This window comes from Homo sapiens, chromosome 7, assembly GCF_000001405.40.
Source record: "Homo sapiens chromosome 7, GRCh38.p14 Primary Assembly".
In the NCBI taxonomy this organism is placed as follows: domain Eukaryota; kingdom Metazoa; phylum Chordata; class Mammalia; order Primates; family Hominidae; genus Homo; species Homo sapiens.
The window spans coordinates 64,431,603-64,445,459 of NC_000007.14; the positions used below are offsets into that span (position 1 = coordinate 64,431,603).

Genomic DNA, 13,857 nt, shown 5'->3' on the forward strand with positions numbered 1-13,857 from the left:
GGAGTTAATAATTGAAAATGAAAGAAAATAATGGCTGGAGCCTTGTGATGGGTAATCAGGAATTTCTGTATAATTTCCATATTTTTGTTTACATTTTTAACTGCCATAATAAGTTTTAAATAAAAAATTTAAGTTATTTTTAATAAAACCTTCAAATACTGAACATTAGCCATGTTATGTAATAAAAAATAGGCAGATATCTTCTCATAAATTACAGTAATAAATTTAGAGATTAGTATCAGATTTGGGTATTGAGATTGGTTTTGAAGAAGCGATGAATGTGCAGCTTTTGCATTAGCAATAGGCTACTCTGACTGTAGAGACGGGTGCCATCAACCAACTTTATGTTAGATTGCTTCTCCAAATATTTTTAATTAATTAATTTTTAATTTTTCCTCATTCTATGATGACATCATTACTTATTTGTAACAATTGAGTTACAGTAGTCTTCTGTAAATGACTTCAGTTTTCTAGTCTAGTAAAACCAGATGGTTCCTATCCGTAAATACTCCTTACAAACTGTTTTCTTTTTGCTTACGTAACCTCTATAATGTTTTTGGTCGCACTTGTGTCCTCTTGTGATATTTAAAGTATCTTCTTCTTCTTTAATACTTATTAAATCAACAGAAATAACTTTGGTGTTAAAAGTCTGTTACTTGGATTTCTTAAAGTCAGAAGCTATTTTAATACTTTTGGCATGTTAATTTTTGATAGGCTTTAATGGGATATAATTTACATAATACAATGACATTTTCATTGTAAATATCAATTTTTTTTATTTTTGATTTTTTTTTGAGACGGAGTCTTGCTCTGTCGCACAGTCTGGAGTGCAGTGGCGGGATCTCGGCTCACTGTAACTTCTGCCTCCCGGTTCAAGCGATTCTCCTGCCTCAGCCTCCTGAGTAGCTGGGACTACAGGCATGCGTCACTACGCCCGGCTAATTTGTTTGTACTTTTAGTAGAGATGGGGTTTCACCACGTTGGTCAGGCTGGTCTCGAACTCCTGGCCTCAAATGATCCGCCTGTCTCGGCCTCCCAAAGTTCTGGGATTACAGACATGAGCCATCGCGCCCAGCCTGTTTTTAATATTATAACAGAGTTACATATTGATAATCACAACTAACTTTAAAATATGTTCATCATCTCAGAGTAAAATCTGTCTTGTTTTCATTCACTCTCCACCATCACCCAGGCCTTAGACATCCATTAGTTTATTTTCTGTCTATCAATGAGCTTTTTATGGACTCTTCTTATATGTGGAATTATAAATTATGTAATCTTTTTGAAACCTAGTTTGTTTCACTTAGTTTACTATTTTTGAGGTTTATTTCCAATGTAGCATGGATTATTGCTTAATTCCCTTTGACTGCTGAGGATTTTATTGCATAAATATGACACATATTTTTTCACTAGCTGATGGATATTTGGATGGTATTCCCCTTTGGCTCTTATAAACATTGCTGCTATGAACATTCACATACAAGTCTTTGTGTGACTTAGGTTTTCATTTCCTTTGCATACATATGTGGAGAAAAATTTCTGAGCCATGTGGCAATTCTGTGTTTAAAATTTTGAAGAATTGCCAAATTGTTTTATAAAATGACTACATTATTTTACCTTTCCAGCTGCAATGCATAGAAATTCCATACTTTCCACATTTGCCGACACTTGTTATTGTCTCTTTGTTATAGCCAATATAGTGTGTTCATTATTATCTCATTGTGATTTGATTTTTATTTTCCTAATAGCAAAATATATTGAGCATATTTTTATGTTCATATTAGCAATTTGTATATCTTCTTTGGTAAAACATATATTCAAGTCCCTTGACCATTTTTAATTGGTAATTTGTCCTTTTATTATTGACATACAAGAGTTTGTTTTGGTTTTGTTTGTATTCCGGATACTAGAGCCCGAGAAGATATGTAATTGGAAATATTGTCTCTCATTATGCAGCTTAGATTATATATTCTTCTTGGTGTTTGGAAAAAAATGTTTTTCAATTTGATGAAGTTTATCAGTTTCTTCTTGATTATGCTTTTTTGTTGTGTTATTTAAGAAATCATTAGTTGCCAGGAAGCGGTTGCCACAGAGCTGAGCAGTTTTCCGCGTGGGCAGGGGAAAGTCCCGGATTGTGGTGTCGCCATTTTTGCTGCCCAGAAGCGGAGCGAGAGGCAGAGACACTATCCACTTCCATCGGTCGCGCAGACCCTGTGGGAGCGGCTGCCGCTGTGGATGATCGAGAGGATCTGGTACCAGGTAAAGCTGGCCGAGCAGGCTGAGCAATACAATGTGCTCTGGAACTGAACTGGCAGTATCTTCCAAGAAATGGTGTAGTCAATGAAGAAAGTAGCAGGGATGGATGTGGAACTGACAGTTGAAGAAATAAACTTCCCATCTGTTGCATATAAGAATGTAATTGGAGCTAGAAGAGCCTCCTGGAGAATAATCAGCAGTATTGAACAGAAAGAAGAAAACAAGGAAGGAGAAGACAAGCTAAAAATGATTTGGGAATATCAGCAAATGATTGAGACTGAGCTAAAGTTACTCTGTTGTGACATTCTGGATGTACTGGACAAAAACCTCATTCCAGCAGCTAACACTGGCGAGTCCAAAGTTTTCTATTATAAAATGAAAGGGGACTACCACAGGTATCTGGCAGAATTTGCCACAGGAAATGACAGGAAGGAGGCTGTGGAGAACAGCCTAGTGGCTTATAAAGCTGCTAGTGATATTGCAATGACAGAACTTCCACCAATGCATCCTACTCGCTTAGGTCTTGCTCTCAAATTTTTCTGTATTCTACTACGAAATTCTTAATTCCCCTGACCATGCCTGCAGGTTGGCAAAAGCAGCTTTTGATGATACAATTGCAGAACTGGATACGCTGAGTGAAGAAAGCTATAAGGACACTATGGACTTCAGGCATGCAGGGTGATGGTGAAGAACAGAATAAAGAAGCGCTGCAGGAGGTGGAAGATGAAAATCAGTGAGACATAAAAGCCAACAAGAAAAACCATCTCCGACCACCCTGCTCTTCCCTATCCCACCCCTTGGCAACTCCCCATTGTCACTGAGAACCACCAAATCTGACTTTTACATTTGGCGTCAGAATTTAGGTTCCTGCCCTGTTTTTTGTTTGTTTGTTTGTTTGTTTGTTTGTTTGTTTTTTAAACAGTTTTCAAAAGTTCTTAAAGGCAAGAGTGAATTTCTGTGGATTTTACTGGTCCCAGCTTTTAGGTTCTTTAAGACACTAACAGGACCGCATACAGGCTTTCTCAGCATTACTGTATTGTCTCCGTGCCAGATGTGGCAAGATTACCATTAGAAATGGAAATTACCTTTGAAAGCCATTAGGTGACGCTTCTAGGTGATGCAAGCGTCTAAGGGAGATATTAATCACACTATAGAGGCAAAAGTGGTATCATTTTTCAGTTTTTCTAATTGTTTAAACCGTATTTTATACCAATGTTTGAAAGTAACTCGGTGTTAGCTTGAGATGGTTAAGGTTTGTTTGGGGAGAGAGTTTTGAAATGGTTTTGCTGTAAAAAGTTTTTCAAACTCTACTGAAATGTTGCTGAAAAGCATGGTGCTGGTAACAGTTCAACAATCGTGGCTGCTCATTCTTGCCTACTTTTACTCTCCCACTGAAGCGGGTTAGCGTTGCAGGTGGTGTGGAAAAGGGCCTGCATGCGTGTTCAATTATTTGTTTCCACTCCTTCTCCATCCCCCTACCTGCTTCCCCTCACTCCTCCCCTCTTCTAGCTCAATCACTTTTGTTCAGTATGTGTAACTTGAAGCTAATTTGTTCTACTGGATATCTGACTGGAGCCACAGATATAGAATCTGTATTGTTCTTACTGAAACACAGTATGGAATTAACATTAAACTTAAATAAAACAAACCTAAATGTAAAAAATAAATAAATCGTTATTGAATAAAAGATTATAAAAATTTACTTCTGCGTTTCTTGTAAGGAGTTTGTCATTTTAGCTCTTACATTTAGCTTTACAGCTCATATTAAGTATTTCAGTATGTATTTGATTTGAGATGGGGTCTGACTTCTTATTTTAAACGTTTATAGCCAATTTTCTTAGAAAAATTCTTGGAAAAGCTGTTTCTTCCACATTGAAATTTTTTGGAACTTTTGTGAATGTTAATTTGCCATAAATGAATGTGTTTTTAAATGGATCTTCCTTTTTTTTTTTTTTTTTTTGAGACATTTGCTCTGTTGCCCAGGCTGGAGTGCAGTGGCAGGATCTAGGCTCACTGCAACTTCCACCTCCCAGGTTCAAGCGATTCTCCTGCCTCAGCCTCCCAAGTAGCTGAGATTACAGATATGCACCACCATGCCCAGCTAATTTTTTTGTATTTGTAGGTGAGATGGAATTTCACCATGTTGGCCAGGTTGGTCTTGAACTCCTGACCTCAAGTGATCCACCCACCTCACCCTCCCAAAGTGCTGGGATTACAGACATAAGCCACCGCACCCGGCTGGATCTTCAAATCTATTAATTACATGACTCTATCCTTGATAATAAGAATTTACATCAAAAAGTATAAATTGTTTTATTTTTCTTTTTAAGGACTGTTTTGTGTATTTGGTATTCTGTGCACATTTATATTGTTTTTTAAATCTTTTTTTAGAGAGAGAGTCTCACTCTGCCACTCAGGCTGGAGTGAGGTGGATCAATCAAAGCTCACTGTTACCTCAAACTCCTGTGCTCAAGCAATTCCACCACCTCAGCCTCCCAAGTAGGTGGGACTACAGGCATGCGCTGCCATATCCAGCTAATTTTATTTTTTTATCTTTCTGGACACAGTACCTTCCTATGTTGCCCAGGCTGTTTTTCAACTCCAGGCCTCAAGTAGTCCTCCAACCTCAAGCAGTCCTCCAACCTCAGCCTCCCAAAGCACTGGGTTTACAGGCATGAGCCACCAAGCCCAGCTTATCTATATTTGTTTTTGGGAAGAACTTGTCAATTTCCATTAGAAATAGTTAAAAATTTGGAGAGATTTTATTGAATCTGTAGATCAATCTGTGAGATATTCTAATCTTAAAAATGATAATTTAAAACTTGATTATCTAACATATGTTAATTTATTCAGTTCTATGATTTTTCTGAATTAAGAAATAGAGTGTAATATGTTTGTACTTCCTTTTAAAACTTTAATATTTCTGCTTATTGCTATTATAAATATATTTTTTCTTTATTTCATTTTCATTGTTGATTTATTTTGTCTATAAGTGCAATTTAATTTTGTTTTCTGATCTTTCATTTAGTGACATTAATTAACTTGTTTATAGTTCTAGGGATATTTTATTGAACTCCTTATATATTTTTATATAGAAAATTATATCATCTGCAAAAAAAGACCTTTGTTATTTTTCAATCTGGAGAATTTTTTAAATTTTTATTATATACTTTATTTTATTGTACAATAACTCTAGTGTTGTGGGTTAGAAAGTATAAATTTCTTTTCAGTTTTTGAAAGTTTTTTTAAACAATTGATAGTATTTACTAAATATTCATTGAATTTGACATATAAGATATCAGGCCCTAAACTTTTCTTTGTGGAAATATTTTTAATTAATACTTTACTCGTTACATGATTATTTATATATACATATATATTCATATATACTTTCTTATTTTTAATTGTTACAGACACATAATAGTTGTACATCTTTATGTAGTACATGTGATAGTTTGATACAAGCATATAATATGTAATAATCAAATCAGGGGAATTAGAATATGCATCACCTAAAACATATTTCATTTATTTTTGTTACAAACATTCTCTGGGAAGTATATCTTATTTCTTAATTTTACTTTCATCATTTGTGACAACCGATTTATTTATTCCTGTTTTGTGGTATTCTATGTGTAGTAAATGTTTAGGTAACACAAAAATAGAAATAATAATATAGAATAAGTCTTTTGTCCAATAAATAATCCAAAGTTTTCTTTGTTGTAAGGTGAAGAATGTAATTATATTTTTATCCTTAATGCTTATACTTATTATTTGAGGCAATAAAAATCTCAATCTAATCCAAATTAGTAAAACTGACATGTAACTTTGGCTTTTATCAAGAGGGCAGATTGAATTGACCCCATAAATTTTATGAAAATTTTTTAAAGACAGGAAATTAATTTTAATAATAAATGCAAAACAATATCATATTTGAATGATAATATGGAAAAGATAATTTGATAAATTAGAGAGGTTACTACTTAGCATATGTAGATGAATATATAACAAAACTGTGATAAATATATGTATATGTAATTTATCTTTAATGAAGATGAAAATTCTGCCATTTTCAACAACGTTGAAGAACCATGAAGACATTATGCTAAGTAAAATAAGCCAGATACAAAAAGACAAGTACCGCGTGATTTCGTATTTATGTGAAATCTTTAATAACTCAGAGTCATAGGAAAAGAAGAATAATAATTACTACGGGCTAGGGTGTGGGAGGAAATGACAAGGCATCAGTCAAAAGATACATACTTTCAGCTAGAAAATACATAAATGATGGGAATGTAACATATAGACTGGTGACAATAGTTAATAATACTGTATACTTAAAATTTTTGAAAATCAAATCTCAAGTAATCTCACCACACATACCCACTCACACACAGACACATAAAGTAACTATGTAAAGTGATAAATATGTTAACTAGCTTAACCGAGGTAATTAAAAAATGTATACATGTCTCAAAACATCATATTCTAAATCCTAAATATATACACCTTTAGTTTGTCAATTATACCTCAATTAATGTATTTAAAAAGTTAAAGGTAATTAACAAGTATTATCTAGCCACATGTAAACTCCATTTAGAACCATTTTCAACATCTTCTGGATTAAATAAAAAATCTAAATCCGCATTATGTTTTTGATATCAGGGAAGTGCTAATGAGAAATAATGGTAATTGTAGAAAAAATCTGAATTAAGGTAAATGATTTAACCCATATTAGCTTTATATGATATAAAACAGTAATTCTGGCTGTATATTCATTGGAGTGTTTCTGAAATTTGTGCATAATACATATGTAATACATACATAGTAGTAAAAAGTAATCACACTTCACAAATTATTACAATATGGTGTATTAGTAAGGAGGTCTTCTACATGAAGAAACTTGAGATTTCACACAAGATGACGTTTTATGTCATAGACAATCTATGAGACATATTTTACTAATGTATGCAACTGTTGCTATTTATGCTTTTCAGGAAAATAATGTATATATTCTAAATATTTAATACAGATAATTAAAATTGTCAAGAAGTTAAAACAATCCACATTATGCTAAATATAGTTGAAGAAAAATATGAGAAATTCCCAGGACCAGGAGTAAATGAAGGGAATAATCCAGTGGAGTAGTCAACCTAAGAAGCACGTGCTCTATTCAGACAGGACTAATCACAAGAACATCAGATTCATGTGGGTTCAACTTCCAACAAGGCAAATGGAATCAGCAAAGAAACATACAGACTGGAGACATTCCAAGTATGATATCTTCCATATGTGAAAACTAAGTTATACATTATGTTGCACACAATTAGATAAACTACCAAGATGAAGAGTCAAAAGAAATTGTATGGTACATAAACATCAGATATTTGGCTTATGTTTAAATATTTTTCAATACAATGAAAAAACAGAAAACCAAAGTAATGGGCAAAGAAAAAAAACTAGAAGCTTCTCAAGTCATATCTGAAAAAAAAGCAAATTGAAAGTAAGCTATTACAAATGTGGTGAAACAATGTAATGTACAACATATGGGTTACATATGAAAATACACTGAGCTGATGAGAGGCCAATAAAATAGAATACTAACCAAAATTGATGTAGTTACATATTTTACAGAAGGCGAATTAATAGAGAATGAAATATATACATATATGAAGATTGGATTGAGAAGAAATGAACATCTAATTGCTTTACTAGACTATATAAAAAAAGAAATATTTAAAGAATTGGTGATTAAATAGTTTCTAAAACTGAAAACCTTTAAATCCTTTAAAAGTTTAGAAGTGTAATGTAGTATCAAGAAGAGATTTAAAAATTCTTAAGTAAAGTAATAGTTTGGCTATTACAATTAGTGATGCAATAAACATGGTAATAATGTTGCCTCTTTGACATACTGATTTTATTTCCTTTTGATATATACCCAGTATTGAAATTGCTGAATCATAGGGTAGTTCTATTTTTAATTTTTGGAAGAATCTACATACTGTTTTTCCTAAAACAGAATAATAATCTGTCATTTAGAGCAACATCGATTTACCTGGAGGACATTATGTTAATTAAAATATGCCAAGCATAAAAAGACAAACCCCACATGATATCATTTTTATGTAAAATTTAAAGCTGATCTCATGGAAGTAGAGTAAAATGGCCAGAGGCTGGAAAGGATGTGGGGAGGAAGAGATGAGAACAGGTTTGCCAATGACTGCAACATTATCATTTAAAAGAAAGAATAGGCCGGGCATGGTGGCTCACACCTGTAATCCTAGCACTTTGGGAGACAGAGGCAGATGGATCACCTGAGGCCAGGAGTTCGAGACCGGCCTGGCCAACATGGTGAATCCCTGTCTCTACAAAAAATACAAAAATTAGCTGGTCATGGTGGCGAGTGCCTGTAATCCCGGCTACATGGGAGGCTGAGGCACAAGAATTGCTTGAACCCTGGAGGTGGAGGTTATAGTGAGCAGAGATTGTGCAACTACACTCCAGCCTGGGTAACAGAGCGAGACTCTGTCGCAAAAAAAAAAATAAAATAAAATAAATTTAAAAATAACAGAAAGAATAAATTTTTGTGTTATGTTACACAAAGTAGGGTGACTATAATTAATAATAATATGTTATTATATAGGTTAAGTTAGCTAGAAGACAGAATTTTGCATATTATCAGCACAGAGAAATGACAAATATTGAAAACAATGGCTATGTTAATTATTCTGGTTCTATTAGACAATGAATAAATGCACTGAAATATCACACTGTATCCCATAAATGTGTACAATTATATGTCAATTTTAAATTAAATAAACCTTAATTTGAAAAAGGTCAAACTTCGTAACACCAACATGAAGAAAAAGCTCATAAAATCAGTGAGAGCAAAATGTCTCACCTTTGTATAAAGCCAGAAAACAGAAAAAAAAGTTAATAAAATGTTAAAGTAAAAGCTTCTACATGGCACAGAAAATAATCAACAGAGTGAAAAGACAAACTACAGGCCAGGTATGGTGGCTCATGCCTGTAATCCCAGCACTTTGGGAGGCCGAGGTAGTGGACCACTTGAGGTCAGGAGTTTGCAACCAGCCTGGCCAACATGGTGAAGCCCCTCTCTACCAACAATACAAGAAAATTAGCTGGGCGTGGTGGCACAAGCCTGTAGTCCCAGCTACTGGGGAGGCTGAGGCAGGAGAATCGCTTGAGCCCAGGAGGCAGAGGTTGCAGCAAGCTGAGATCGCACCACTTGCACTCCAGCCTGGGCAACAAGAGCAAGACTCTGTCTCAAAAACAAAAACAAAAACAAAATGACAAACTACAGACTGGGAGAAAATGTGCATACTGTGCATCTGACAAGGGGTTAACATCCAAAATATATAAGGGGCTCAAATAACTCAATGGCAGAAATAATAATAATCATCATCCAATTTTAAAATGAGCAAAAACCTGAATAGGTATTTCTCAAAACAAGATGATAGATAGATAGATAGATAGATAGATAGATAGATAGATAGATAGATAGATAGATGATAGACAGATAGATACACAATAGATAGTTGACAGGTATATGAAAAAATGCTCAAAATCACTAGTCATCAGGGAAATGTAAAAGTAATATAGTTATTACCTTACTTAAATTAGCATGGTCATTATCAAGAAGACAAAAGATAACAAGTGTTGGCCATATGTGGAGAAAAGGAAACCCTTATGCACTGTTCGTTTAAATGCAGATGAGTACAGCCATTATGTAAAAAAGTAGAGGTTCCTCGAACTAAAAATAAAACTACTATATGAACCAGCAATCTCACTATTGGGCATATATCCAAAGGAAATAAAATCAGTACGTTAAAGAGATGTCTTCACTCTCATGCTTATCACAGCACTAATGACAATAGCCAAGATAGAGAATAATCATATTATCCATCAAGGGACAAATAGATAAAGAAATCATGGCATAGAAACCCAAATGAAAGGCTATTTATTCATATAAAGAATGAAATCCTGCCATTGAAAACAACATAGATGGGCTGAGCACACCTGTAATCTCAACACGTTGGGAGGCTGAGGCTGGCAGATAACCTGAGGTCAGGAGTTCGAAACCATCCTGGCTAACGTGGTGAAACGACGTCTCTACTGTGCTCCATTGCACTCCAGCATAGGAGACACAGCAAGACTTCGTCTCATTAAAATAAAATAAAATAAAATAAAATAACAACATAGATGAACCTGGAAAACATTATGTTAAGTGAAATAAGCCAGGCGCAGTAAGACAAATACAACAAGATTTTGCTACAATGTGGAATCTAAAAAAGTTGATCTAATAAAACTAGAGACTAAAATGGTTATAAAATATAAAATAGTTACTAAATGCTGAGGTGATTAGAGGGGAGAAGAGGATAAAAAGATGCTGGCCAAAAGGAATATAATTACAATTATATCAGAGAAATAAATTTAATGATATTTTTTACATAGCAAGGTGGCTATAGTTACTTATGAGATTGTACAGTCTTGAAAAGTGCACAGATAGTGGATGTTAAGTGTTCTCACCACAAAATAATAACTTAGATAATGCATTAATTAGCTAAATTTAATTATTTTACAATCTATATGTACTTTGAAATCTTTTGTTATGCATAATAAACTTGTACAATGTTATCTTCAATTAAAAATAAACTTTAAAAGCATGCTTAGAAAAATTATTATTCAGCTGGGTGCGGTGGCTCACTCCTGTAATCTCAGCACTTTGGGAGGCCGAGGAGGGCAGATCACCTGAGGTCAGAAGTTCGAGACCAGCCTGACCAACATGGAGAAACCCCATCTCTAATAAAATATGAAATCAGCCCGGTGTGGTGGCACGTGCCTGTAATCCCAGCTACTGGGGAGGCTGAGGCAGGAAAATCCCTTGAACCCGGGAGCGGAGGTTGCAGTGAGCCAAAATCCAAGAGCAAAATTCCATCTCAAAAATATATACATTTTTTTCAAAAGTAGTAACACTGAGTGATATGCTTGCTAATAGGAGCCACATAAGCATACACTCAGGAAAATAATGTTTTCCTGGCCGGGCACAATGGCTCACATCTGTAATCCCAGCACTTTGGGAGGCCGAGGTGGGCAGATCACCTGAGGTCAGAAGTTCGAGACCAGCCTGGCCAACATGGTGAAACCCTGTCTACTAAAAATACAAAAATTATCCAGGCGTGGTGGTGGGCACCTGTAGTATCAGCTACTCAGGAGACTGAGGCAGAAGAATCGCTTGAACCTGGGAGCAGAGGCTGCAGTGAGCCGAGATCGTGCCACTGCACTCCAGCCTGGGAGACAAGAGCAAAACTCCATCTTAAAAAAAAAGAGAGAAAATGTTTTCCTGTATAAAGGTAAAATTAAAATTAAGTAGTGAGAGACATGCTTTAGGAATATTAAACCATGGGGGACACTGAACTGAGAACAACATATAGTTCTTAGCACCAGGAAATTAAAAAAATATTGAGACGGGCCGGGTGCAGTGGCTCACACCTGTAATTCTAGCACTTTGAGAGGCCGAGGTAGGCCGATCACTTGAGGTCAGTAGTTCAAGACCAGCCTGGCAAACATGGCAAAACCCTGTCTTTACTAAAAATACGAAAAAAAAAATTAGCTGAGCAAGGTGACAGATGCCTGTAATCCCAGCTACTCGAGAAGTTGAGGCAGGAGAATTGCTTGAACCCAGGAGGCAGAGGCTGCGATGAGCCAAGATTGCACCACTGCATTCAAGCCTGGGCAACAGAGTGAGACTCCATCTCAAAAAAAAATTAGATATTACAAAACTGCAATTCCAGATGTTTTATTTAAATCAGATAGCAAATTCTGTGTTTTTAAATAATTTAATTAATGACAGCAAAATTATTTTTAGAAAATTTTATCACTAACTTGTTAAAAAGGGATGGCACGTCCAATGAACCTTTGGCAGAATACTGATGATTCTTTTATCAGATCTGATTAGCACCATAGGACTGACAGTGGCATAGGCATTGACCATAAACTTGTGGACACTGTAGATGACAGGGCTGAATACCCATAACAACATTGTGGAGGATGAGACAATTAAGTCCAATGAGTACATAACCACAAAGAAACTCACCAGCAGCAAGATGGTCTTGGTGGCCCTTTTCTCTGGGGAGGTTCTTAATAAAAAGCTAGTGCTGTGAAGGTGCTGGGAGCGCCTCTGATGCCTGGACAAGAGAATCACCATGTAGGCACTTGAGAGCGGCATGATTCCTACAAGGAAGACATCTCTGGATAACGACAGAGTAACAAACAGCCTTCTGATGGTGACATTCATTGGGGAAAGTGAGCAGTATTTACTGACATTCAGAATTATCTGGGTCACACTGGAAAAACCTACAATGTAGATAATCATGTCACTGTTGAAAGAAAAATTGAGGGACCAAAGAATAATAAAGCCAGGATATTGTATTTTGTGATTTTATGTTTAAATCTCACCAACCAGGAGGTGCTGGGGCTAATGGTGATGGCCTGAAGCATGCTCAGGAGAGAGGTTGTGCAGATCAAGAGGCCCCTCATTGCCTTGTATGTGTAGAACACAGCCTTACATCTGAAGTTATTCTGAAAATTCTGTGACTCAAACCCATCTGGAGACAATAGCTTTGCTGCAATGACTAGCATCAGTATGTGAACAAAGGTCAAGTGACAGATGATCAGGTCATGGTTTTTAGGCTTGTGATCCTTAAAGAATATAAAAATGTGCCAGAGAAGAAGAAATATGTTGGCCGAGATTCCAATGCCAGCTTGAAAATAAAAGGCCTTTTTCAAAGATAACATATGAAATGTGTGTTCATCCTAATGATGTAGAAGAAACATATTTTGAAGACCTGAAAAAAATACATCTGTGTCATCAATGTTCTTTTGTCAGTGTTCAAAATTATTACCATTATGATTATTTTTATTTTACTCTCATTTTCTTGATTAACCCCATCTTATATAAATTCTTGATAATGTATCTCCTGCACTATTTTCTAAACCAAATAAATGTATACATATATAATTATGAATATATATAACAAATACATTTTCAATTATGCCTGTATAAGGTGCACACTATCTATATTCCTCACGTACCTTGGCCTTCATCTCAGTAATCATATCCTTGTTTTATGTTCTCTTATTTTATATTTACTACTTCAATCGGGCATATAAAATGAATAGCATTTGTACAGTGGAATTGAATTAAATGTATGTTAATGAGAAAAGACTCACTAAAACAATTAAAAATATATATTCAGTTAAGACTTTCTCATGGTCTATCATTTTGATGAAATTCATTCATCATCAGTCTTCCATGGTTTTTGACCCTTGTGATTTTACTGGACTCACCATGATAATTCATGATATTTCATCAGCATATTAGCAATTTTTATCCTATCTGCACCCTTATATTCTCTTTGTCATGAATTATAATGTGTAATGTGATATCTTGGAATTCAAATGTCAATATCCTTAGAGGGACTGGGGGACATTGTTCTGCTTAATCAAACCCTAATTTACTGTATATAATATAGAAATAGTTCTGGCTGTCTCAGTTTAGTTCATATCCCAGAGATTTAT

General features: G+C 35.0%; 2 pseudogenes across 1 annotated transcript; one reads left to right on the forward strand and one right to left on the reverse strand.

The window, feature by feature from the left end:
- Positions 1-2,090: 2,090 nt before the first annotated feature.
- YWHAEP1 (tyrosine 3-monooxygenase/tryptophan 5-monooxygenase activation protein epsilon pseudogene 1) lies at positions 2,091-3,918 on the forward strand (annotated as a pseudogene). The gene has a single exon (NR_029404.1). The product of NR_029404.1 is annotated as a tyrosine 3-monooxygenase/tryptophan 5-monooxygenase activation protein epsilon pseudogene 1 (transcript).
- VN1R40P (vomeronasal 1 receptor 40 pseudogene) lies at positions 12,158-13,074 on the reverse strand (annotated as a pseudogene).